The sequence below is a fragment of the Homo sapiens genome, chromosome 12 (genome assembly GCF_000001405.40).
Source record: "Homo sapiens chromosome 12, GRCh38.p14 Primary Assembly".
In the NCBI taxonomy this organism is placed as follows: Eukaryota; Metazoa; Chordata; class Mammalia; order Primates; family Hominidae; genus Homo; species Homo sapiens.
Genome location: NC_000012.12, coordinates 121,742,861 through 121,770,074, shown reverse-complemented (window position 1 = coordinate 121,770,074; position 27,214 = coordinate 121,742,861). Strand labels below are relative to the sequence as shown.

The 27,214-nt window shown below is 53.7% G+C and overlaps 1 protein-coding gene across 1 annotated transcript in view, besides 2 other annotated features; it reads right to left on the bottom strand.

Annotated features, from left to right (window-relative positions):
• TMEM120B (transmembrane protein 120B) overlaps window positions 1-27,214 on the bottom strand; it is a 69,317-nt gene that overhangs the window by 11,994 nt on the left and 30,109 nt on the right. The window contains exons 2-6 of the mRNA NM_001080825.2: window positions 26,328-26,446; window positions 21,633-21,749; window positions 19,636-19,695; window positions 17,852-17,947; window positions 8,337-8,426 (exon numbers count right to left, since the gene is read on the bottom strand). Of these exons, the coding sequence (NP_001074294.2) occupies window positions 8,337-8,426; window positions 17,852-17,947; window positions 19,636-19,695; window positions 21,633-21,749; window positions 26,328-26,446 (482 nt within the window). The remainder of the gene's footprint in view (window positions 1-8,336; window positions 8,427-17,851; window positions 17,948-19,635; window positions 19,696-21,632; window positions 21,750-26,327; window positions 26,447-27,214) is intronic.
• Window positions 3,083-3,586: an enhancer, noted in NCBI's record as "H3K27ac-H3K4me1 hESC enhancer chr12:122204395-122204898 (GRCh37/hg19 assembly coordinates)". NCBI's record gives its function as "activates a minimal SCP1, AML or CMV promoter by ChIP-STARR-seq in primed H9 embryonic stem cells {active_cell/tissue: H9 hESC(primed)}" and the evidence as "EXISTENCE:reporter gene assay evidence [ECO:0000049][PMID:30033119]".
• Window positions 12,574-13,074: an enhancer, noted in NCBI's record as "H3K27ac hESC enhancer chr12:122194907-122195407 (GRCh37/hg19 assembly coordinates)". NCBI's record gives its function as "activates a minimal SCP1, AML or CMV promoter by ChIP-STARR-seq in naive H9 embryonic stem cells {active_cell/tissue: H9 hESC(naive)}" and the evidence as "EXISTENCE:reporter gene assay evidence [ECO:0000049][PMID:30033119]".

The following is a 27,214-nucleotide window of genomic DNA, read 5'->3' as shown; positions in this document are numbered from 1 at the left end:
TTGGACTTGCTGCTCTCTCTGCTCCAAGACCTTGACGTGCCTGGCTCCTCGTCCAAGTGCAAGCTTCAGACTAGCTGTCACCTCACAAAGGCCTCCTGACCGCCTTATCTGAACCAGCCTGATGGCCCCACTCGGATCACACTGCCCCACTTCACCTCCTTCATGGCATGGATCACTGTCTGCAATTACGTGCCTTTCTTCCTGTGATCTGCCCCCTCTCCCACCCCTATGTCACCTCTAGATTGAGCAGGGGTCTTGTCTCTATTGTTCACCAGTCTATCTGTGACCCTGGGTTCCAAGCAGCTGCTCAATAAATGTGTTGAATAAGCATGCATGTACACACACACACACACACACACGTTTTCTCTTTTCCAGGCAGGGTCTCACTCTGTCACCCTGTCTGGAGTGCAGTGGTGCAATCATGGCTCACTGCAGCCCTGACCTCCCAGGTCAAGCAATTCTCCCACCTCAGCCTCCTGAGTAGCTGGGATCACAGGCGTGCGCCACCACGCCCAGCTAAATTTTTTTTTTTTTAGAGACAGGGTCTTGCTATGTTGCCCCGACTGGTCTCAAATTCCTGGGCTCAAGCAATCCTCTTGCCTTGGCCTTCCAAAGTGCTAGGATTATAGTCGTGACCCACTGTGCCTGGCCAGACATTCTTACACAGGACTGCAGCTATGACATTGCCCTGTACAGAAGCAGAGGCTGATGGATGCCACACGCGGCACCTCACACCATCTCCGAGGCAGCTTCTCCCCAGGAGCTACATGCCCCAGGCCCATCTCCTGTCATCTCAGTGACAGGAGGCCCTTGCCCAGCCCTGGACTTCATCTATCCAGTCCAGAGGCTATGGGAACTCTGTTTCCAGAACTCAGCACTCCCCCAGCTGGGTTTTTTGGGGTTTTTTTTTTTGCCTTTTTTTTTTTTTTTTGAGACAGTCTTGCTCTATTGCCCAGGCTGGAGTGCAATGGCACATTCTTGGCTCACTACAACCTCCGCCTCCTGGGTTCAGGCAATTCTCCTGCCTCAGTCTCCCGAGTAGCTGCGACTACAGGCGCCTGCCACCACACCTGGCTAATTTTTGTATTTTTAGTAGAGACAGGATTTCAACAGGTTGGCCAGGCTGGTCTCGAACTCCTGACCTCAGGGGATCCACCTGCCTCGGCCTCCCAAAGTGCTGGGATTACAGGCATGAGTCACTGCACCCGGCCCAGCTGGGGGCTCCTGATCCACAGTTGGGTAGAGCCTGGTTGTCACCCCCCACCCCCAGCATCAGGGGCAGCCTAGGAAAAAAGGAGTTGGACCCCTCAACCCTGTAACCTTCAACATCCCAGAGTGTGTCTCAGGCCTTGGCTGGCCTCCCCAGGCTCCTCTAGTCCAAACACATGGCAGCAACTTGCCAAATGCACCCAGGAGCAGCCAACTCCCTCCTCCCCAGGACTGGGAGGTGGAGGCTGGGGATGCTCGTGGGAACAGTCATTAACCTTCATCCCTCCAGAACTCTCTTGGGACTGGGCAGGGAAATGGGTCCACACACACGCCCACGTGCTTTCTCTTTTTTTTCCAGGCAGGGTCTCGCATACGCACATCGTAAGAACGAGACTGGATCTAAACCATCACTCTTCCCTTGACGGCCCATGCAACAGTTCTGGGCATAAATTGGCTTTTCAAGCAACAGCCTGTGTGTTCCCCAGGAGTTATGCTGAGGGGCAAGGTTTTATGCAGCTCTGTGTTCACAGCACTAACAGCACCAGGTAAACAACAGGCACTCAATAAATGTTGACATGAATGATGCCTGGGAGGTGTGGCTGGTGAAAGCAGCAGCTAATCTGGATGCCACCAGCGCAGAGGTGACAGGAGATTGTTGCAGGTGCCACGTGCGGTCATGGGGACAGGGTGAGATGTCCATCTACTTCTTTGTCCCCAGAAAACTCCCACCTCCACTCATGTATCCTAGTCTCGCCTGTCAGAGTCTAAGAAGCCCCTGGGCTCCAAATTTCTGACAGCAAAGGCAGTTGGCCAGATCCCCCAACTTCCAGCTTGAAGAGCAACCAGGAGGTCTCTCTGCAACTTCCCAGAGCTCTGCAGAGCCACGTCAGCCCTCAGCACTTGGCAGGCGCCACACTCCTTTGTCCTGCTCCCAAAGCTCCCCTGAGAAATGCCCTCTGTCTAGGAGCAGCCTGAGGCAGACACAGACTCCAGGCAACAAGCCTGACTGAGCAGCAGCTTTTCATTTCACAGCTCGCCGTGCCCAGAGCCCAGCTCTGACAGATGCCACCAATAAACACAGCTCAGTGACATCGGGTGAGGCTAGAAATCGCTCCTTCCCTGGCCCGGCATTCACAAGCCCAGGCGTCCATCTGCACACCCCGGGGCTCTGGGCTGGTTGTGTGCACATGTGTTTATGTAGCCATTTTACTGTGATGTGATTCAGATACCGTACAATTCACTCACTGAAAGTGCACAACTGAGTGGCTTTTAGTATATTCACAGAGTTGTGCAACTGTCACCAGAATCTGTTTTAAAACCTTTTTATCATTGCAGAAAGAAACCTACACCCATTTGCAGTCACTCTCTGGGCTCATTTCACCACAGAAGTTAAAGCTTGCAGGGGCAGCTGGGCGCGGTGGCTCACGCCTGTAATCCCAGCACTTTGGGAGGCCGAGGCGGGCAGATCACCAGGTCAGGAGATCGAGACCATCCTGGCTAACATAGTGAAACCCCGTCTCTACTAAAAAATACAAAAATTAGCCGGGCGTGGTGGCGGGTGCCTGTAGTCCCAGCTACTCGGGAGGTTGAGGCAGGAGAATGGCGTGAACCCGGGACGCGGAGCTTGCAGTGAGCCGAGATCGCACCACTGCACTCCAGCCTGGGCGACAGAGCGAGACTCCATCTCAAACAAAACAAAACAAAAAAGAAACCTTGCAGGAGCTCACGGCCTTTTTTTATTTTATGAGCTCCAGGAGGAGCAGGTGCATCAATGGCCAGACGTAGGGACAGCATGTCCCAATATCTGGAAATTGCAAGGGTAGACTTCTCCCTTCAGGACACATTAACATGGCTGTGAGTGTGCAGGAGATATGTGCACCAGCCACTGTGAACCCCAGGCCACTCCTGGCTCTGTGCCTTGGGCCATCTAGACAGTGGGGAATGGCTTCTCCACTGAGGATCCCTCCTAGAAAAGCCAGTTGGAGGCAGGCACCCTAGGCTGGCTCCCTAGAAAACCAAACATGATCACCGAGTCATTACTCATTCTGGCCCAGAACTAACTGTAATAGACATCGGCTGTTTTGCCCAGTTGCTGATCACAGCCCATCCTCATTGGGTGGCCTCTGCTTTGCCCCTGTGGGGAACCACCTCACCCCCACACTCAGTCTGGGTGGCTGGGATAGACCACAGTCTTATACCCAAGCACATGACCCCCAGCCAACCAATCAGGACCCTCTGCAGTCCTCTGGCAACAGTGACTGGCTCTCAGAGATCAGTAGGTCACCCAAGCCTGGCCAATCAGAAGTCTGTGTCAAGATTCCAACTGGGGTGGAGGGAGGTCTGTCAGCCCAGGGGTTACTGCTGGTGGGAGGCCTGCCTGGGGGCCGCTGGGGGCCATCGCAGGGGAAAACAGAACAGGGAGCTGGAGCCGGGCCATGAACACCTCCTGAGCCCTCCTGACCTCCTTGAATGGAAATTCCCAGTTACATGGGCCCATAAGACCCCTTCAGGTTTAGTCCCTATGGGATGGTTTTCCATCATTTTCAAGTTTACAAGAGCTGACTTGCTTATTATGCTGAGCTGATGAGTGGCATCTCACTTGGCAGGCACCAGACACAAACCGAGGGTGGCTTCATATCTCGATGAGGAAGTCCCCACCCCTACCTGCTCCCCTGACCACACCTCCTGTCCCAATTCAAATCTCAGGTGCAGCCAGAACTGGACAAAAGCGCCTCCATCAGACAAAACAGGGCAGCAGGCCCCCAGGAGGCCCGTAGGGTTCAGCGACGCCGTCTCTAGAATGCCGTGATGGCCCCAGGACCCTTCCTCACGCAGAACTTGGGTTTGGGTCACTTCGGCAAAGACTGTGGGGTGTTGACGGCGCGCACCAGCCCCGAGTGAGTGGATGCTTCAGGGATGAGAAACTAGAGTTCATCCCAGTCTCACCTCCCACCGCCTCCACACAGGCTCTCCTGCAAGGGCTTCTGAGCTACTCCCTGGTAAAGAACCAAGCAGGAGGGGAGGCCTCCAAGGCATCTCCCTTGCCTGCCCCCAGGATCAATCAGCCCTGAGGAGGAGCTGGAGGAGGGCGGAGGCTAAATCTCCAACAGATGTGGAAGATGAGTCACAAGTATGAGTCACTCGGATTTAGCCCACCTGCCTTGCTCCCTCCCCGACAAGCTGGCCCCAGCTCCTGTAGTCCTTCTATTAGGTTGGTGCAAAAAATGACTGCAAAACACAAATACTTTTAGACTAACCTAAATAGAAGATAATGCATCTATTTGGGCCCAGAGGCCCCATTCCAGACTCCACTTGCCCATTCAAACCCCTGCCTCAGACCACCAAGGGGAGACAGGCCTGGAGGAATGGTTCCATTGCAACCTCAAATTCCTTGAACCATATATGCCATAAAAGGTCCTTAGTAAAAAAAACTCGGGGCTGGGCACAGTGGCTCATGCCTCTAATCCCAGCACTTCAGAAGGCCGAGGTGAGCAGATCACCTGAGGTCAGGAGTTCAAGATCAGCCTGGCCAGCACGGTGAAACCCCATCTCTACTAAAAATACAAAAATTAGCTAGGCATGGTGGTGTGCACCTCTAATCCCAGCTACTTGGGAGGCTGAGGCAGGAGAATTGCTTGAACCCAGGAGGCGGAGGCTGCAGTGAGCCGAGAACACACCACTGCACTCCAGCCTAAGTGACAGAGCACGACTCTGTCTCAAAAAAAAAAAAAAAAAAGAAAGAAAAGAAAGAAAAGAAAAAAACCTCTGTGGGTGCTCCCAGGAGGCAGAGTGTAAGTTATCTTGGAGTCCTTAGTTCAGTGTTTGGTACTTAGGAGACACTCAATAAATGTCTGATGAATGGCAGATGGAGGGTAGAGCAGACTCACACGAAGCTTTGAATTGCAAGCTCAGGGACAACCATCCCTGCTCTCCTGTCAGAGAGTGAACTCCAGGAACTCTGAACAGCTCCTGCTAAACTGTTAGGCAAGGGAGGCTGGCTTTGGAAGTCCATTTTTGCCCTGTTAGCAGCCCTCTCTGTTTTGCTGGAGAGTCCCACACTTGCAGAGACCTCCACTCAGTGCTGCTCCCATCTCTCTGGTCGCCCCCCATCCACAGCGTCACATTAGAATAAAAAGCTGCCCAGAGTAACTCTTACTAAAGTGTTAATGATTGCTAGAGGCATCACATGCCCCAGAGCACTTTTTTTTTTTTGAGTCAGGGTCTCACTTGCCTAGGCTGGAGTGCAGTGGCCTCAACCTCCTGGGCTCATACAATCCTCCCACCTCAGCCTCCTGAGTAGCTAGGACTACAGGTGTACACCACCATGCCTGGCTAATTTTTTTTTAGACCGAGTTTCACTCTTGTTGCCCAGGCTGGAGTGCAGTGGCATGATCTCGGCTCACCACAACCTCAGCCTCCCGGGTTCAAGCAATTCTCCTGCCTCAGCCTTCCTGAGTAGCTGGGATTACAGGCATGCACCACCACGCCCGGCTAATTTTGTATTTTTAGGAGAGATGGGGTTTCCCCATGTTGGTCAGGCTGGTCTCAAACTCCTGACCTCAGGTGATCCACCGCCTTGGCCTCCCAAAGTGCTGGGATTACAGGCATGAGCCACCGCACCTGGCCCATGCCTGGTTAATTTTTTAATTAGCTGGGACTACAGGCACACACCACCATGCCCAGCTAATTTTTTTTTTTTTTTTTTGGTAAAGATGAAATCTTATTTTGTTGCCCAGGCTGGTCTTGAACTCCTGGGCTCCAGTGATCTGCCCACCTCTGCCTCCCAAAATGCTGGGATTACAGGCGTGAGCCACCATGCCTGGCCTACACACTGATGTTTTCTAAATGGCTGTGTGCAGCTACAAGGTTGCATTCGTGAAACTTCCTGTTGCCCTCAGGAGGCCAGGCAGGAGGGGGGCTCTCCTTACCTCCAGGCTCTACGTTCAGTGTAGGGCAGGGACCTGCCATACGAAACCACAAGGCAAACAAGTGGGAAGGTGGCACATTAGGCGGTGGGGGCTGCGCAGCTCCTGGGTGTTCCTCACTAGTTCCCAGGAGGAAGGAGGAAGCAGGAGCTTGTTACTTTTTGTTTCAGGAAAGAACAGGAACCGGAATGGCACGTTGGCAGGGCGCGGTGGCTCACACCTGTAATCCCAACACTTTGGGAGGCCAAGGAGGGCAGATCACTTGAGGTCAAGAGTTTGAGACCAGCCTGGCCAACATGATGAAACCCAGTCTCTACTAAAAATACAAAAATTAGCTGGGCGTGGTGGCACGCACCTGTGATCCTAGCTACTCGGGAGGCTGAGACAGAAGAATCGCTTCAACTGGGAGGCAGAGGTTGCAGTGAGCTGAGATGGTGCCACTGCACTCCAGTCTAGGCCACAGAACAAGACTCCATCTCGGCCAGGTGCAGTGGCTCACGCCTGTAATCCCAGCACTTTGGGAGGCTGAGGTGGGCGGATCACGAGGTCAGGAGATCGAGACCATCCTGGCTAACACAGTGAAACCCCATCTCTACTAAAAATACAAAAAATTAGCCGGGTGTGGTGGCGGGCGCCTGTAGTCCCAGCTACTCAAGAGGCTGAGGCAGGAGAATGGCGTGAACCCGGGAGGCGGAGGTTGCAGTGAGCCGAGATTGCGCCACTGCACTCCAGCCTGGGCGACAGAGCAAGACTTCGTCTCAAAAAAAAAAAAAAAAAAAAAAAGGCATGCCGAGGTTCCAATGGCCACCCCCAAAAGGAATTAGACCTTTGGAAAATAGGTCCTCCAGGTGGCAAGTCATGGGTTTTAACTGGGTCTCAAGACTCAGCTTAGAGGCAGGCAGGGCAGGAAAGAGACTGAGAGAAAACAACAGGGCTTCTCGCACTCAGAGCCCTTCAGAGATGGGGGCCAAGGGAACCCCCAGTCTTGCCTGGACTCACTCAGCACCACTGTGACACACCCACTCCCCCGTGGGACTCTGAAACAGTCCAAAGAGGATACATGGCTTGCCCAGGGTCACAGGGCTGCTCAGTGACTGCACTGGGACCGGAACCCAGGAGTCCACACTCCTAGCCCGGCCTCTGTCCTCCCCAGCATCATCTCTCTGGTGGGGCAGGTTTGGCCTAATATCCTCTTCACCTGTCCACTCTCCCCTCTATCTCCCCGTAGAAGACCACCCACCCACTCTTGTCACCAAAACCCGTCCATCCTCCTAGTAACGGTCTCCCAGTTTTCCTCTGAGGAACCATTCCTCTCCTGACACTCAGCTTCTCCGCTCCCAGTGACGGCTATCAGGGTGGGTGTGAGGCTCCAGCCTGGCCAGTCACAGCACTGCAATCCCTGGCAACAGTGACTGGTTCAGGGATAGGTACATGATCCATTCTGCACCTGGACATAGCCAGTGCGACCCAGTGAGAGTCTTGGAAGAGAGGAATGTGCTCCGTTTGCTGGGAATGCTATAAATAGTGACATGAGCCTGGAGTTGCTGGGTGCCCCAATAGCAGCCTGAGATAAACACAACACAGAAGGCAGAAGTGAGAGACGGAGAGCACTTGGATCAAGACTTAACTGAAGGCAGAACAATGGGTCACCTCTTTTTTTTTTTTTTTTGAGACAGAGTCCTGCATTGTCCCTGGGCTGGAGTGCAATGGTGCGATCTCAGCTCACTGCAACCTCTGCCTCCTGGGTTCACGCTATTCTGCCTCAGCCTTCTGAGTAGCTGGGACCACACCCGGCTAATTTTTTGTATTTTTAGTAGAGACAGGGTTTCACTATGTTGGCCAGACTGGTCTCCATCTCCTGACCTCGTGATCTGCCCCCCTCGGCCTCCCAAAGTGCTGGGATTACAGGCGTGAGCCACCGTGCCATGCCGCTCACTTCTTTTTATGAGAAAATATGTTTCTTATTGTGTTGAGCCAGTCTGAGTTAGGTCTTCTATTGCTCATAAGCAAGAGGCTGATCATAAACAAGAGCTGCCGCATCAACAGCATCAGCTTTCCTCCTTCCTGGATCTGAACAGTCACAGAGCAACCCCCAAGGAGGAGAGGAATGCAGCCTGAGGGTGTCGGCCCCCATCTGACGCCCCTCGTGACATTTCCCTTTAACTCCTCTTGTGCTCCCCACAAAGCCAGGTGCCCAGGTACCTTGAGCCGTTGCTGATGAGAATGCTCTCCCGAATGGTCAGGGTGCAGTAATACCACACCAGCAGGAAGTTGAAGACTTCGTCAGTCACCCTGTGCAAGGAAACAGCCCCCGGGAGGGGTGCGGGCGTGAGAACCAGGCACAGCCATCCCACCCTCACCTCACAGAGCAGCAAACCAGGCTGAGGGCTGCCCACAGCACGCGCTGCCTCTGGAAGCCCTTATGACACCAGGGAGGCAGGGGGAGCTTGGTCTCTTGAGCGTCTTCCCCGGCCCTGCAAATGCCTCTGAACCTCCTCATCTTTCTCCCTGAGTCCCACCTGCGCTTCAAGCTCCAGCTGAGTCTCCCCCTCCTTCCCTGACCACTCAGCCCAGGGCAACCTGTCTGTCTTCTAAACTCTTCCCATGTGATGTGAAATTTCTGGTGGGATGTTAACGGAAGGACTTTAAGAACGGGAGACTTGGCCAGGCGTGGTGGCTCCCGCCTGTAATCCCAGCACTTGGGGAGGCTGAGACAGATGGATCACTTGAGGCCAGGAGTTCGAGACCAGTTTGGCCAATATGGTGAAACTCCATCTCTACTAAAAATACAAAAATTACCAGGGTGTGGTGGCACACACCTGTAGTCCCAGCTGCTTGGGAGGCTGAGGTAGGAGAATTGCTTGAACCCAGGAGGTGGAGGTTGCAGTGAGCTGAGATCGTGCCATTGCACTCCAGCCTGAGCGACAGAGCGAGACTCTGTCCCAAAAAAAAACAAAAGAATGGGAGACTTAATGTTCTATTTAAGGTTGCCTGCAGTGTTAAGATATAAACTCCCTCTGCCCCCTTAAAGCATCTGTAAACTTTGTTACATGTATTTAATACAAAAAATTACCTATGGGCCCTACCGTCTGTGATGTTAGAGAGTTAGAGTAGGTAGCTAATCAGATATAAACAGGGCCCCCTCCAACCAGGAATGTCAGGTGACCATCAGGTAATGGTCAGGTGGTTGTTAACTGTCTCTCTTAAATAATAATTGGCCACACCCAGTGCCAGGGAAAGGCAATCTCCCTATAGATAGGAAAAACATGAAGCTGGTGATCAGCAGCCTCCTGGTAAGATCTCAGGAGCTGAGCAAGTGGGCTCAAGCACGTGCACTAGGAGGCAAAATGACAGTGTTTAACTCGTACATGACTTTCCGGGGACATTCCACTGGCAAAGGGAAGGATGCCTCAAGTGAGCATGTGTGCAACTCCAGGAAACAAACTGCGCACGCGCCCCTCCCAGCTCGCAGGCCACTGCGCATGCAGACAGCCCACCCCAAGGGAAGAATCAGAGGAGGGTCACCAGACCCCCGGAAGTCTGCCAGCATATAAGACCCCAGGTCAAAGGGCACACCGCACACTTGTCCTCCAAGATGCCCGCTCGGCCCTCTTCTAAGTGTACTTTACTTTTTCTTTTTTTTTTTGAGACAGAGTCTCGCTCAGGCTGGAGTGCAGTGGCGCAATCTTGGCTCACTGCAACCTCTGCCTCCCGGGTTCAACCGATTCTCCTGCCTCAGCCTCCCGAGTAGCTGGGACTACAGGCATGCTCCACCACACCCAGCTAATTTTTTTTTTTTTTTTTTTTTTTTGAGACGTAGTTTCGCTCTGGGGCCAGGCTGGAGTGCGGTGGCGTGATCTCGGCTTACTGCAACCTCCGCCTCCTGGGTTCAAGTGATTTTCCTGCCTCAGCCTCCTGAGTAGCTGGGACTATGGGTGCACACCATGATGCCCAGCTGATTTTTGTACTTTTAGTAGAGAAGAGGTTTCACCATGTTGGTCAGGATGGTCTCGATCTCTTGACCTCGTGATCCACCTGCCTCGGCTTCCCAAAGTGCTGGGATTACAGGGGTGAGTTATCGCACCCGGCCTGATTTTTGTATTTTTAGTAGAGATGGGGTTTCACCATGTTGGCCAGGCTGGTATCGAACTCCTGACCACAAGTGATTCACCCAACTCAGCCTCCCAAAAGTGCTGGCATTACAGGCATGAGCCACTGCGCCCAGTGGCTTTTCATTCCTGCTCTAAAGCGTTTTGTTTGTTTGACACGGAGTTTCACTCTTTCACCCAGGCTGGAGTGCAATGGTGGGATCTCGGCTCACTGCAACCTCCACCTCCTGGGTTCAAGCGATTTTCTTGCCTCAGCCTCCAGAGTAGATGGGATTACAGGCGCCTGCCACCACACCCAGCTAATCTTTGTATTTTCAACAGAGACAGGGTTTCACCACATTGGCCAGGCTGGTCTCAAACTCCTGACCTCAGGTGATCCACCTGCCTCGGCCTCTCAAAGTGTTGGGACTACAAGCGTGAGCCACCGCATCCGGCCAAGCTTTTTAATATACTTTCACTCCTGCTCTAAAACTTGTTTCTTCTTCTGCCTTATGCCCCTCAGTCAAATTCTTTCTTCTGAAGAGGCAAGAATGGAGGTCGCTGCAGACCCGTTCGGATTTGCCGCAGGGAACTTGAATACTACCACCACTAACGGGAGAACTTTAAGAACAGGAGACTTGGCTGGGTGCGGTGGCTCACGCCTGTAATCCCAGCACTTTGGGAGGCCGAGGGGAGTGAGCGAGACTCCACCTCAGAAAAAAAAAAAAAACAGTAGACACTCTATGTTCTATTTTAGGTTGTCTGCAGTGTTAAGCTATAAACTCCCTGTGTCCCCTTAAACCATCTGTAAACTTTGTTACATATATAAAAAAATCCCAGTGGGCCATATTGTCTGTAACACTAACTGAAGAACTCCTTTTCCTCCTCCATGGTGACCACAGCGCGGGGCTGGGCCGTCCTCCTCCATGGTGACCACAGCACGGGGCTAGGCCGTCCTCCTCCATGGTGACCACAGCACGGGGCTGGGCCGTCCTCCTCTATGGTGACCACAACGTGGAGCTAGGCCGTCCTCCTCCATGGTGACCACAGCACGGGGCTAGGCCGTCCTCCTCCATGGTGACCACAGCGCAGGGCTGGGCCGTCCTCCTCCATGGTGACCACAGCGTGGAGCTGGGCCGTCCTCCTCCATGGTGACCACAGCGTGGAGCTAGGCCATCCTCCTCCATGGTGACCACAGCGCGGGGCTGGGCCGTCCTCCTCCATGGTGACCACAGCGCGGGGCTGGGCCGTCCTCCTCCATGGTGACCACAGCACGGGGCTGGGCCGTCCTCCTCCATGGTGGCCACAGCGTGGAGCTAGGCCATCCTCCTCCATGGTGACCACAGCGCGGGGCTGGGCCGTCCTCCTCCATGGTGGCCACAGCGTGGAGCTAGGCCATCCTCCTCCATGGTGACCACAGCGCGGGGCTGGGCCGTCCTCCTCCATGGTGACCACAGCGCGGGGCTGGGCCGATCCAGCTTTGAAGGCGACAGACCCGGGCTGTGGAGCATGCTGTACCTGGTCAGCATGGAGGGCCGGCAGACCGCTGTGTGGGGATTATCAGAGCCCCACTGGCCTCAGCCCTGCAATCTGTGAAGTGGAGAGGCCGACCCACCATGTGAGCATCCCCAGGGAAAAGAACTCTGTGAGAGAGTCAGTGACAGACGCCCCTCTGAGGGCTTCCCCACCACTGCCAGTCTGTCTGAGGAGGCACTGACAAAGGCTCTGTCTTTGGCAATTTTTTTCTGTTTTTAGAGTCAGGCTGGAGTGCAGTGACGTGATCATGGCCCACTGTAGCCTTAATCTCCTGGGCTCAAGCGATCCTCTCACCTCAGACTCCTAAGTAGGTGGGAATACAGGTGCACAATACCACATCAGGCTAATTTTAAAAACTTTTCTTGGCTGGGCACAGTGGCTTGCGCCTATAATTCCAGCACTCTGGGAGGCTAACGTGGGTGGATCACTTGAGGTCAGGAGTTCAAGACCAGCCTGGCCAACATGGTGAAACCCCATCTCTATTAAAAATACAAAAAAATCGGCTGGGCGTGGTGGCTCACGCCTGTAATCCCAACACTTTGGGAGGCCGAGGTGGGTGGATCACGAGGTCAGGAGATCGAGACCATCCTGGCTAACATGGTGAAACCCCGTCTCTACTAAAAATACAAAAAAGTAGCCGGGCATGGTGGCGGGCACCTGTAGTCCCAGCTACTCGGGAGGCTGAGGCAGGAGAATGGCATGAACCCAGGAGGCAGAGCTTGCAGTGAGCCAAGATCGTGCCACTGCACTCCAGCCTGGGCGACAAAGCAAGACTCTGTCTCAAAAAAAAAATAAATAATAATAATAATTAGCCGGGCGCAGTGGTAAGCACCTGTAGTCCCAGCTACTTGGGAGGCTGAGGCAGGAGAATGGTGTGAACCCGGGAGGCGGAGCTTGCAGTGAGCCAAGATCGCGCCACTGCACTCCAGCCTCGGAGACAGAGTGAGACTCTGTCTCAAAAAAACAAAACAAAACAAAATACAAAAAATTATCCGGGTGTGGTGGTGCGCTCCTGTGATCTCAGCTACTCGGGATGCTGAGGCAGGTGAATCGCTTGAACCCAGGAGACAGAGGTTGCAGTGAGCTGAGATCACACCACTGTACTCCAGCCTGGGTGACAGAGTGAGACTCTGTCTCAAAAATATAAATAATAAATAAGTGACACCCCCCCCCCCCACCGCCCAGGGAGGCCGAGCTCCCTCCCTTGCCACACTCATTTCCTGTTCAAGTCATGTTGACCTCTGATGTCCTCAGAGCTGTGCTTCTGAGACTGTGGACGCTCTCTGGTGCTGCCGAAGTCATGACGGACACCGTACACTGCCCTGCTACTCTCAGGCACCGTCCTCAGCTAGTGTCCTCAGCAGCCCTGCACGGGAGGTGCATGTCTTCTCCCTGCTCTCCAGGTGGGGAGTGTCAGCTCAGGAGAACAACTGACTTGCCCACAGTCCCACAGCCGGGAAGAGGCAGAGCCAGATTTGAACTGAGGCCCTGAGATTCCAGGGTCTGTTCCTGACTCTCTTGAGACGAACTCTGTGAGCAAAGGTTCAGCAAGGTGTGGGCAGAGAGTGACTGTTGTCTGTGACCACAAAGTAGGGCCACAAAGCTTCAAAGCAGTTGCATCCTCCTTTCATTTTGCCCCCAGGGCCCTTACAGTTGGTGAAATCATCTCCCAGTTTAGGGAGAGAAATGGAGGAGATTCGGGGGGGTTCCCTCCCTTTTATGAAGATAGACTGCACCCAGCGGCCATTTCTGTTCCCATACTGGATAAGTCTGTGTGACACTGGGAGGTACATGGGACCTTCCCTGTTGGGGTCAAGGACAAAGACTTTAGGAGTTTGAGACCAGCTAGGACTGGTCATAGCAAGACTCCATCTAGAGACAGAGTTTTGCTCTTTTGTTCAAGTAATTCTCCTGCCTTGGCCTCCCGAGTAGCTGGGATTACAGATGCATGCCATCAGGCCCGACTAATTTTTGTATTTTTTGTAGAGAGGGGGTTTCGCCATGTTGCCCAGGCTGGTTTTGAACTCCTGGGCTCAAGCGATCCTCCAACCTCAGCCTTCCAAAGTGCTGGGATTACAGGCATGAACCACCACACCCGGCCCATCTCAAGAGTCTTAATCACATCTGCAGAGTCCCTTCTGTAAGGTAACTTATTCACGGGCTCTGGAGACCAGGACATGAACATCTTTGGGGATCATTATTCAGCACTAGGCAGAGACTAATTATTGGGAACTTATAACCTTGCAGGCATTTTGCATAGATGATCGCTCTGGATTCTTGGACACTACAGAACTGGTTCCTAAAGCAGGTGCACTTACCACATCCCTGTCGGCATGACTTCCAACTACCAGAACCCGCCACTCTGGGTGTTCCTGGGGGGCTTTATCAAGCCACCAGCATCTACTCTGCTGGTGCAAGGTGCAGATCAGAAGGGTGGAGCAATTAACACCCTCTGGGGTCAGTCCTCAACTGCCCCAACTGATAGCAAATGGTGGATAAATACCCCAGCTCCCTCACCCTCAGGTGGGATAACTCTGAGGCATGTTCTACGCTGTCCCCTCATTCCCTAGCAGTATTGAGCTCCAACTACCCACAGGATAATGCTTTCTTGCCTCACTTCCCATTCCACTACCAGTGTCTCCTGGGATCACCTCCTAAATAAACTACTGGCACTAAAATGCTTGTCTTGGGGGTCTCTTCTGGGCCAACCCACACTAAGACAGTACCACTTCCCATTTTACAGATCACACAGACGGCAAGCACTGGAGTGAGGTCCAAACCCAAGCCCACTCGAGCCAAAATTAACTCTGACTACCTCTTTCCTAGCCTGGTTCAAACCTGATAGAGGACAGTCCTAACCAGGCACAGCCTCTTGGCCTGAAGGCAGCAGAAGGAGGCTTCCAACTCTCCTGCTGCCTCACCAAAGCCTCCAAACGCCCAAGGAGTACTGGTGGAGTAGATGTCCTGGAGCCTGTGGAAAAGGTGAGGAGACAGACAGAGAGGCCCAGGGATCCACTTCAGGTCACAAAGCCCGTGAGTGGCAGAGCTGGACCCAGAACCCTAGAGGATGCTGGCCATGCCCAGCTGCAGGCTTAGTGGTACCAAGAAGGGCCTCCGGGTGGGGAGCCTAGCCAGGAAACCATCCCAAGAGGGGCAAGAGGAAGAAAAGAGAATCCTGCTCTGTGGACGCACTAGCTATGAAGCTGTGAGCCTTTTTCCCGTATGCCCAGTCTTAGCCCAAAACAACGGTGATGCTAACCGGTGCTAATATTTAAACAGGCACCAGTCTAACCAGTCTCCAGACACAGCTTCTCCTGCCCTCCAAGCTGCCCTGCCAAGTAGCTCCTGTCACGCTCACTGTATCTGTCAAGAAACTGAGGCTGGGAGAGGTTCGTCATTTGCCTAAGGTTAAACAGCAGGGCAGGCTTCCCGGGGGCACCGGCACAGAGATGAACGGCCCGTCCAATCCCCCTCCTCTGCCCCGTTTTTAGCCTATAGAAGGTGTACTGGGTTGAATAGCATCCTTCCAAAATTCACGTCCACTGGGACCTCAGAATGTGACCTTATTTGGAAACAGGGTCTTTGTAGATGGAATTAGTTCAAATGAGGTCATACTGTGTTAGGGTGGGCTCTAAATCCAGTGTCTAGTGTCCTTACACTAGGGAAGGAGGCCGTGTGGCGTGGTGACAGAGACAGAGGCGAGTGAAACACAGCTTTAAGCCAGGCAATACGGGCTTGCTGGCAATTCCCAGAAGCTGGAGAGGCGAGGAAGGGTCCTCCCTCCCCGAAGCCTGTGGAGCGGCATGGCCCTGCCACGCCCTGCTTTCAGACCGCCGGCTTCCAGAACTGTGGGAAAATGTGTCTGTCGTTTTAAGCCCCCAGTCTATGGTACTTAGTTACAGTGGCCCTAGGAGATGAACACAGAAGCAGGTAGGAGAAAAAGAGACGCCCAGGCCCTCGGGGAACCTTGGGCCTCAGGACAGCAAGGGTTTGCCTTCGGAGGGCCCTGGAGGTCCCTGTGCAAGGGACTGTGGCTGCACATTGACAACTTTTACCCTCTTTGAGGGAGGCACATGAGGAGTAGTACAGATGTGTGCAGCCTTTGCCCTCGTGGAAACAGGCCAGGCTCTGGGCAGCAGGCGAGCACGGGCCCAGGGCCTGAAAGAGCCTTTGTTTGGGCATTCAAGTGGCCAGACCAGCAGCCGGATGCCCAGCCAAGTGCCTGCCAGGCAATAAACGCTTGGCACATAGGCCAAATGCCCAAACCGTACTTGACCGCTTCCCCTGGGGACAGAGAACCCAGGGCCAGAGAAAGGAACAGCAGCCCAGGCAGGGCAGCAGCAGCCCACAGCCTCACGGCATGGCTGTGCTGCACTTGGACGGTACCAGCAGCTGGGGAGCACCCCCAGCAGCGCCTCCACGTGCCAGCCAGGGTGGAGCTTCCACACACGGTGCCAGCTCCCTGAATTGTCACAGCCCTGTGAGGCAGGGACTGCCGTCACCCTTGTTTTACAGATGGGGAGACTGAGGCTCCCAGAGGGAACCTGCCCATAGTAACAGCCAGTTGGTCTCAAAACCATTTTCTTTTCTCTTTTTCTCTTTTTTTTTTTAAATATAATTGGGATATAATTCACATACCATAAAACTTGTTCTTTTAAAGTATATAATTTAGTGATTTTTAGTATATTCAGAGTTGTACAACCATTACCTAACTCCAGAACATTCTTTTTTTTTTTGTTTGTTTTTGAGACAAGGTCTCGCTCTGTTGTCCAGGCTGGAGTGCAGTGGCACAATCTTGGCTCATTGCAACCTCTGCCTCCCAGGTTCAAGTGATTCTCCTGCCTCAACCTCTTGGGTAGCTGGGATTACAGGCACCCACCACCACGCCTGGCTAATTTTTGTATTTTCAGTAGAGACAGGGTTTGACCATGTTGCCCAGGCTGGGAGAACATTCTTATTACTCTAAAAAAAAACCTTGTACCCAGTAGCAGTCATGCCCTCCTTCCTGCCTCCCGCAGCCCCTGGCCACCACTCACCTACTCCCCGTCTCTATAGATTTGCCTGTTCTGGGCAGTTCTCAGCAATGGAATCCTACTGTGTATCTTTTTGTGACTGGTTCTTTAACTCAGCATCACATTTTCAAGGTTCATCCATGCTGCAGCCTGGCTCCGTACTGGTGACAGTACTTCATTTCTCTCTCCCTTTTGTTCAGACCAGGTCTCCCTCTGTCCCCAAGGCTAAAGTGCAGTGGTGTGATCATGGCTCACTGCAGCCTCAAACTCCTGGACTCAAACAGTCCTCCCATCTCAGCCTCCCAAAGTGCTGAGATTACAGGTGTGAGCCACTGCACCCAGCTAAATAATTTTATTTTTTATCTTTGTAGAGATGGGGGTCTTGCTGTGTTACCCAGGATAGGCTCAAACTCCTGACCTCGAGTAGTCCTCCTGCCTCCCAAAGTACTGTACTGGGATTACAGGTGTGAGCCACCACGCCCAACTTTTCATTTCTCTTCATAGCTGAATGATATGCCACTGTACAGATAGACCACAGTGAACTCCTTTTTTTTGGGGTGACAGAGCAAGACTCTGTCACCCAGGCTGGAGTGCAGCGATCTCAACTCACTGCAACCTCTGCCTCCTGGGTTCAAGCGATTCTCCTGTCTCACCCTTCCGAGTAGCTGGGACTAAAGACATACTCCACCATGCCTGGCTAATTTTTGCATTTTTAGTAGAGACAGGGTTTCACCATGTTGGCCAGGCTGGTCTTGAACTCCTGACCTCAAATGATCTGCCTGCCTCGGCCTCCCAAAGTACTGGGATTACAGGCGTGAGCCACCGCGCCAGGTAATGAACTCCTTCTTAACTAGTACAGTACAAGGCCTTTCCAGCAGCCGTTTAACAGATACTTGTTGGATGGAGGTGGGGCAGACAGGACTGGCATTTCCCATGAGAAATGGCCCCTCTCTCCCCTACACCTCATCATGCCAAACAACACAGAAGCAGGAGAGGCTCCGGGTCCCCTGGATCCCTCTCTCCCGGCCCCCACCTGACGTCTGCATGCCCAGGCCCAGGCACACACGGCCACACCCACTACCTGTAGTGAAGGACAAATCGACATGCCACGGCACCCAGGAGCAGGATGATGGTCAGGTAGAGCTTGAACTTCTCATATTCGTCCTTGTAGGCGAACCTGCCACGACAGACACGCCCAGGGGTGTGCCCCTTACCATGACTATTCCAGCACCTGGGCATGGCCCTCAGCCCCATCAGACCCTTGTCCTTCAGCCACTGCCATGGCCCATAAGGACCTTCCCATTCCACTAAAGGAAAGACCTGGCCTTGACGGGTTAGTGGTGACCAATGAGGGGAAGAGGGCCAAGTATGCAGAAGGCCCATGTCCCTGGACTCTGGTCTGGGGCTCTGGGCCCATGCTGGGGACAGGCAGGGGGCAGAGACAGGGCCTCTTCCCTCAACCAACTGCTGCTGCTGAAAGGCCAGGGTTTGCGGCTGTCTGGAAATGGGGTAGACTCAGAGTAGACTGGACTGCCCATCTCCCTATGTGTGTGATAGGGCGTGAAACAGAGCAGGGCCATTTCTTGTGCGAAATGGGAAGTCCTGTCCACCCAACATACTGACTTGGAGGAAGGGAGGGAGGGGAGGGAGGGGAGGGAGGGAAGGAAGGGAAGGAACCAAGGAACCAACCCTCTCCCAGGTGCTCTACCTACAGAGGAGGAGAGTGTCAGAAACTCCAAAAGCCAGCGCCTCACCTGTGACCAGGTTTTTATTTATGCAAAAATTCTAGCTTAGATGCAACTTCCCTGAGCTGAAGGAACAGAATGCCGGAGGCCTCTGAGCCAGGTGAAAAGCGTGAGACGGGGTGTGGGTTGGGGTGTAGGATAGGGTGTGGGGTGAGAGTGGGGTGGGATGTGAATATGGGGTGTGGGGTGGGGTGTGGGTGTGGGGTGGGGTGTGGGTGTGGGGTGTGTGGTGTGGGTGTGGGGTATGGGGTGTGGGTGTGGGGTGTGGGTATAGGTGTCGGTGTGGGGTGTGGGGTGTTGGGTATTAGGTGTGGGGTGTGAATGGGGGTGTGGGGTGTTGGGTGTGGGGTGTGAGTATAGGTGTGGGTGTGGGGTATGGGGTGTTAGGTGTGGGGTGTGGGTTTGGGGTATAGGTATGGGTGTAAGGTGTGGGGTGTGGGTTTGGGTTTGGGGTGTGGGTGTGGGGTGTAGGTGTGGGGTGTGAGTGTGGAGTGTGATATGGGTGTAGAGAGTGGGTGTCAGTTTGGGGTGTGGGTGTTGGGTGTGGGGTGTGAATATGGGGTGTGGGGTGTGGGGTGTGGGTGTGGGGTGTGTGGTGTGGGTGTGGGGTGTTAGTGTGGGGTGTGGGGTGAGGTGTGGGTGTGGGGTGTGGGGTGTGGGTGTGGGATGTGGGGTGTGGTGTGTGGTGTGGGTGTGGGGTGTGGGTATGGGGTGTGGAGTGTGGTGTGTGGTGTTGGTGTGGGGTGTTGTGTATGGGGTGTGGGGTGTAGGTGTGGCTGTAAGGTGTGGAGTGTGAGTGTGGAGTGTGGGGTGTGAGTATGGGGTGTGGGTGTAGGGTGTGGGTGGGGTGTTGGCATGGGGTGTGGGTTTTGAGTGTGTGGTGTGGGGTGTGGGTGTGGGTGTGGGTGTGGGTTCGCAGTGTGGGGTGTGGGTGTGGTGTTGGTGTTGGTGTTGGTGTGGGTGGGGTGTTGGTGTGGAGTGTGGGTGTGGGTTTGAGGTGTGGGGTGTTGGTGTGGGTGTGGATGTGGGGTGTGGGTTCTCAGTGTGGGGTTTGGGGTGTGGGTGTGGGTGTGGGGGCGGTGTGAGGTGTGGGTCTGGGTGGTGGGTGGGGGACACTTACTTGGCCTGGTTGCTGAGGAGGGTCACGTTCACATTGCCGAGGACCAGGTTCAAGTAGAGCCTGGAAGGAAACACCTGTGAGGGGCATGATCCTTAGCAGGTGGGTGCGAATCAACAACATTCAAACTCAACACACTTAATGAGCACATCCCAAGCACTGATGTTAGAAGATAGGGGGCCTAAGCTCAGCGGGCAAATGGGCCCCCACATCGAGTGAGAATGACAACTAACCAAAGGACATTAACCTGTGACAGGACAGTGTGAGGAGTCGATTTCTCCTCCATGCTACCCTAGAGACCGTATTTCTAAGCCTGCCTTGCAGCCAGATGTGAGCAGGTGACTAAGCATAGCCAATGAGGTGGAGGCAAAGGTACAACCTCTAGGTCAATTTTTAAAGAATTTTCTTTATTTTTCATTATTATTATTATTATCATTGTTATTATTTTTAGAGACAGGGTCTCACTCTGTTGCCCAGGCTAGAGTGCAATGGTATGATCATAGCTCACTGCAGTGTTTTTTGTTTTTTTTTTTTTTTGAGACAGAGTCTCGGTCTGTCACCCAGACTGGACTGCAGTGGCACGATCAGGACTCGCTATAACCTCCACCTCCTGGGTTCAAGCAATTCTGCTGCCTCAGCCTCCCAAGTAGCTGGGATTACAGGCACGTGCCACCAGGCCAGCTAATTTTTGTATTTTTAGTAGGTTTAGGGGTTTCACCATGTTGGCCAGGCTGGTCTTGAACTCCTAACCTTAAGTGATCCACCTGCCTCCGTCTCCCAAAGTGCTGGGATTACAGGCATGAGCCACTGTGCCCAGCGTCACTGCAGTCTTGAACCTCTAGGCTCAAGTAGTCCTCCCACCTCAGTCGCCAAAGTAGCTGGGATTATGGGTACACACCAGCACACCAATTTTGTTAAAGTTTTGTAGAGATGTGGTCTCACAATGTTGTCCAGGCTGGTCTTGAATTCCTGGGCTCAAGTGATCCTCCCACCTCGGCCTCCCGAAGTGCTGGGATGACAGGCACAAGCCACCGCGCCCGGCCTTGAGTTGGGTTTTCTATCGTTTGCAATCCAAAGATTCCCAACTGAGGTTAAGAGGCACAGAGGCCTAGGGACAGAGGGGCAGGAAGGCAGACACGCATGACACTGTAAGAGGGTCACGAATGCTAGGCTGCTGCTCATTCTGCAGAAAATGATCATCACTTAACTCATGGGGTCTATTCGAACACAGTCAAAAAGGAGAAGCTCGGAGGAATGGGTTAAAATATAACAGGGCTAGCCAGCTCCCTCCCACCCGCTACAGGCCTGAAAGGAGCCCCTCCTCCTAATGCACGGCTCTGACTCAGCGCGAGGCTGATCCGGAAAACAGGGTCAGGGTGAACTGACTGTGCTCAGCAGCGTTAAGTCAGGTCATGATGATATGAGGCTGTAAGCAGCTCTCTCTCTCCAGAACAAGGTGGCAATGACATCACTTAAGGGAGGGAACGGGGACTTCTCTGAAGGGGGAAAATACAAAGAACGTGGGCTTTGGAGTCAGAATGTCTGCTGTTCACATCCTGGTGTGGCCAAACATTCGCTGATGTCTCTGAATCTTGTAAAAATGGGCATCTCTTGGTCTGACGCACAGATTGTTGAGGATAAACCAGGTGACATCACAGGAGGTCCCGGCACAGCTCTGAGCGTGCAGGAGGCACGCAATGCATGTTTGTTCTCCTGGGAGAGGACAGTTTCCCTCTTAACCCCAGGTGTCAGCAGGCATGCAGTGAGTGCTGGTTCCTTGCAACGGACCTCCCAGGAATGCTGCTGTCACACGGTGTGGCTAAGGTCCCCTCCTGGGCTCATGGAGGAATGTGTAAGGAAGGCTCCTTATCTCTCCTGCCCTTGTTTCCCTCTTTCCCCTTCAATCTGAGCACCAGCAGGAAGGCGAGAGTTATATGGACCAGCTGTGCTAGGCCTGGGCATGGGCCTGTGCTAGGGGTGGGGAGGTTGCCAGCTCCTACCCGTTCTTCTTGGGCAGGTAGGCCTCCATGTCGAAGAAGACGTCCTGCCGCTCCTTGATGTTCGCTGCCATCTGCTGAACGAGCTCCGCCTCCTCCCGACTGGCATGGCGTTTGCACCTGCGGACAGAGATGCAGGCACAGGGGAAGGGGCGTCACTCAGAGGGAGGAGGGCTATGGACTCCCCGGGCCCCAGCCTCCCACCTTCTACCCCAGTGCCTCCTACCTTCTACCCCAGCCTCCCACCTTCTACCCCAGCCTCCCACCTTCTACCCCAGTGCCTCCCACCTTCTACCCCAGCCTCCCACCTTCTACCCCAGCCTCCCACCTTCTACCCCAGCCTCCCACCTTCTACCCCAGTGCCTCCCACCTTCTACCCCAGCCTCCCACCTTCTACCCCAGTGCCTCCCACCTTCTACCCCAGCCTCCCACCTTCTACCCCAGTGCCTCCCACCTTCTACCCCAGCCTCCCACCTTCTACCCCAGTGCCTCCCACCTTCTACCCCAGCCTCCCACCTTCTACCCCAGTGCCTCCCACCTTCTACCCCAGCCTCCCACCTTCTACCCCAGTGCCTCCCACCTTCTACCCCAGCCTCCCGCCTTCTACCCCAGCCTCCCGCCTTCTACCCCAGCCTCCCGCCTTCTACCCCAGCCTCCCGCCTTCTACCCCAGCCTCCCGCCTTCTACCCCAGCCTCCCGCCTTCTACCCCAGCCTCCCGCCTTCTACCCCAGCCTCCCGCCTTCTACCCCAGCCTCCCGCCTTCTACCCCAGCCTCCCGCCTTCTACCCCAGCCTCCCGCCTTCTACCCCAGCCTCCCGCCTTCTACCCCAGCCTCCCGCCTTCTACCCCAGCCTCCCGCCTTCTACCCCAGTGCCTCCCGCCTTCTACCCCAGCCTCCCGCCTTCTACCCCAGCCTCCCGCCTTCTACCCCAGCCTCCCGCCTTCTACCCCAGCCTCCCGCCTTCTACCCCAGCCTCCCGCCTTCTACCCCAGCCTCCCGCCTTCTACCCCAGCCTCCCGCCTTCTACCCCAGCCTCCCGCCTTCTACCCCAGCCTCCCGCCTTCTACCCCAGCCTCCCGCCTTCTACCCCAGCCTCCCGCCTTTTACCCCAGCCTCCCGCCTTCTACCCCAGTGCCTCCCGCCTTCTACCCCAGCCTCCCGCCTTCTACCCCAGCCTCCCACCTTCTACCCCAGTGCCTCTCGCAACCGCAGTTCCCCATCTCAACTCTCGGGGTTGGAGGAGTGATGCTGCCTCCCAGGTAGTCTTGTGACTTTCAGAAAGTCCTTAAACCTCTCTGCCTTATTTTCCATACCTGAAAAGCCGGGATAACCTCAAGCCTACCTCACAGACAATAGCCTGGTGAGGATTAAATGAGTAAGTACAGCATAGAGCATCTAGAATAATACTTGATAGTATGAGCTCAAGGGATAATTACTGACAATACTATTTTTCTTCTCATTTTTCTTTTCTTTTCTTTTTTTTTTTGAGACAGAGTCTTGCTCTGTCGCCCAGGCTGGAGTGCAGTGGCGCCATCTCGGCTCGCTGCAAGCTCCGCCTCCTGGGTTCACGCCATTCTCCTGCCTCAGCCTCCCAAGTAGCTGGGATTACAGGTGCCTGCCACCACGCCCAGCTAATTTTTTTTTTGTATTTTTAGAAGAGATGGGGTTTCACCATGTTAGCCAGGATGGTCTCGATCTCCTGACCTCATGATCTGCCTGCCTCGGCCTCCCAAAGTGTTGGGATTACCGGCGTGAGCCACCACGCCCGGCCTTCTTCTCATTTTTCTAAAGAAATAGCTAGCAGGCATGATGTTATAGTCCCAGCACATACGCCTATGATCCCAGCACTTTGGGAGGCCAGGGCAGGAGGATCACTTGAGGCCATGAGTTTGAGACCAGCCTGACTAACATAGCAAGACCCCGTCTCTATAAAAAATTAATTAAAGAAAACAACCAAGGCCGGGTGCAGTGGCTCAAGCCTGTAATCCCAATACGTTGGGAGGCTGAGGTGGGCCGATCACCTGAGGTTGGGAGTTCAAGACCAGCATGACCAATATGGAGAAACCCCGTCTCTACTAAAAATACAAAATTAGCTGGGCATGGTGGTGCATGCCTGTAATCCCAGCTACTCGGGAGGCTGAGGCAGGAGAATCGCTTGAACCCGGGAGGCAGAGGTTGCAGTGAGCCAAGATCGCACCATTGCACTCCAGCCTGGGCAACAAGAGCGAAACTCTGTCTCAAAAAAAAAAAAAAGTGGGGGGGCGGTTTAAGAAAACAACCAGGGGCTGGGTGTGGTGGCTCATGCCTGTAATCCCAGCACTTTGGGAAACTGAAGTGGGCAGATCACCTGAAGTCAGGAGTTCGAGACCAGCCTGGCCAAAATGGCAAAACCCTGTCTCTACTGAAAATATAAAAATCAGCTGGGTGTGGTGGCAGGCCCCTATAATCCCAGCTACTTGGGAGGCTGAGGCAGGAGAATCACTTGAACCCGGGAGGCAGAGGTTCAGTGAGCCAAGATAGCACCACTGCATTCCAGCCTGGGTGACAGAGCAAAACTCCATCTCAAAAACAACAACAACAATAACAAAAAACAACAACCAAGCATGGTGGTACATGCATGTAGTCCTAGTATTCATGAGGCTAAGGTGGGAGGATCGCTTGAGCCCAGGAGATCAAGGCTGTGGTGAGCCGTGATTGCGCCACTGCACTCCAGCCTGGGTGACAGAGCAAGACACTATCTCAAAAAAAGTAAGGCCAGGCATGGTGGCTCACACCTGTAATCTCAGCACTTTGGGAGGCCGAGGCAGGATGATCACTTAAGGTCAGGAATTTGAGACCAGCCTGGCCAACATGGTGAAACCCTGTCTCTAGTAAAAGTACAAAAATTAGCTGGGCGTGGTGGCGGGCACCTGTAATCCCAGCTACTCGGGAGGCTGAGACAGGAAGAATTGCTTGAACCCGGGAGGCAGAGGTTGCAGTGAGCCGAGATTGCACCACTGCACCCCAGCCTGGGCAACAGAGCGAGACTTCATCTCTGAATGAATGAATGAATGAATGAAAATAATTTTAAAAAATAGAAATAAAGGAATAACCTACAGATGACCAAGAGACAGACAAAAAGGCACCTGAAAGCATAAGCAGTCGACCAATCATGGTCTGTTATTCTTTGGTAACACGGAACTCTCAAAACCAGAAAACAAGTCAGCAGACACATCTCAGAATGACAGGGGTCCTTGGTCTAAGACCCTAACTCACGGGTCAACCTTCTAACCCAGCACTTCTCAACTGAGGACAGCTGGCAATGCCTGGAGAGATCTTGGTGGACACACCTGGGGCAGGAGTGCTACTGGCATCAGTGGGCAGAGGCCAGGGATGCTACTCACTATCCCACAGTGCACTGCACGGCCCCCACAAAGACCCATCAATAGTGCTGGGGTTCGCCATGTGCCCATCTGTGAAGCAATCACTGAGAATCTGAAGAAACTCTAGACTCTGAGCCCTGCCATTACCAAGATGTGTTTTTCCAAAGCCACATCTGGTGACGTGTTTGCACAGGGCCATCCACACTCTCTACCCCTTAGTTGCGGGCCTCCATTTCCAAAATGGCCAGCCACACTGAGAGCTATAATCAGGACCTTCCTCCAAAATTGTCCACAAGGAAAGAGTTGACCAGGAGTCCCAGATTCTAAAATGGAGGCCCAGCTAAGTGACCTGGGACAAGTCACTTGGAGCCTCAGTTTCCCTGCCTGACAATGGGGTCACGGCATCCACTGGGCCCCTTCACATACCAGGCAGGAGGGGACTTCCCAGACCTGGAGACCATGAGTGTCAGGAAATGAACACGATCCAGGCCTTGGGAACTGAACTAAGCTATGAGCTCAAGCACATCTCCACCAGGGATGGCAGCCTAGTGGCCACTACACCAGCAACCCCAGTGGGGAGGGCACCCCACACCCACAAAAGGACGCTGCCTGCTTACTTGTCCGGCAGGGCACCTTCCTATAACAGCACCCAACTTTCACCCGGGAAACTACTTATCTTCTTCTCCCATCACCCATGTGGCCATCCCTCCACCGCCCAGGGCCACAGACTTAGCACACGGCATGGCGCTGCCCAAGCAGCTTCTCAGTGATTGGTTCACAAATGGGCATTCAACCAATCCCAGCCAATGAGGACTGAACCCAGAATGTCGGCTGAAGTACTGGGAACGAGAAACTCTCGGCCAGGCACAGTGGCTCATGCCTGTAATCACAGCTACTCAGGAGGCTGAGGCAGGAGAATCGCTTGAACCCAGGAGACAGAGGTTGCAGTGAGCCGAAATCATGCCATGGCACTCCAGCCTGGGCAACAGAGTGAAAGACTCCATTTCAAGAAAAAAAAAAAAAAAAAAAGAGAGACACTCTCCTTCAGCCAGGGTGGCACAGCCGGCAGGAAGCAAGGCTGGAGAATATAAGCCTGGCACTGCTGGTGAAGGGGACAGTCACCCTGAGAGTGACACCAATCCAGAGGAAGGCAGAATTTAGAGGGAAAAATACATGCCCCAAAACACCCTTTGACTCCTGGATCCAGTGATGCCTGAAGCAACTCCCAGTCCTGTCTTTTTCCACTGAGATTTCCATTCTCTGCTTCAGCCTGTTTTGAGTTGGACTTCTGTCCCTCAGAACCAGGGCAGCCCCCGGGCTACAGCTGCACCTACCTCTGGAGTGTAAGCTTCAAGTCCTTGAGGTGCTTCTTCTGCTTACTGATGGAACTGCTACACAGCGTCTGCAGCGCAGCCAGCTCCTCCAGCTTCTGCTTGTAGATCCTGTGCGTCTCCTGAAGAACAGGGGACCCGGGGGAGGGTGTGTGGGAGAATATGAACAGCTCATTTTCTTTTCTTTTTTTTTTTGAGAGAGTCTCGCTCTGTCACCCAGGCTGGAGTGCAGTGGCATGATCTTGGCTCACTGCAACCTCCGCCTCCTGGGTTCAAGCGATTCTCCTGCCTCAGCCTCCCAAGTAGCTGGGACTACAGGTGCCCACAACTACGCCCAGCTAATTTTTTTTTTTTTGGTATTTTTAGTAGAGATGGGGTTTCACCATATTGGCCAGGCTGGTCTCGAACTCCTGGCCTTGTGACCTGCCCGCTTCGGCCTGCCAAAGTGCTGGGATTACAGGCGTGACTCACCACACCCAGCCAATAAATCACTCTTTATTTAGTGTTCACTTTGAGTTGAGTTTCTGATCCTGACAATGAAGAGAGTTCCTGTTAGGTCAACTAAGAAAAGCACATACCCCTTTCCTTAAAGCCACCCTCCCCACTCCAGACACAGTCACTCCAATGAATTCAATAGCTCATTCCTGAAATAACCATTCAGGGCCACAAGGCCAGGAAAAATATAAGAGACTTCGCCCCAGTGCTGGGGGAACAGAAAACAGTAACTTCTTGACTTTGCCACCATCACATACCTCCAAATAAATACCACCACAGGCAGGGAAACAACCCCTTATCTCTGGACTTCTAAGACAAACACCAACAATCTAGGGAAACCAGCATGGGAGATGAAGACCATGACATTAAAAACAATAAGCTGGCCGGACGCGCTG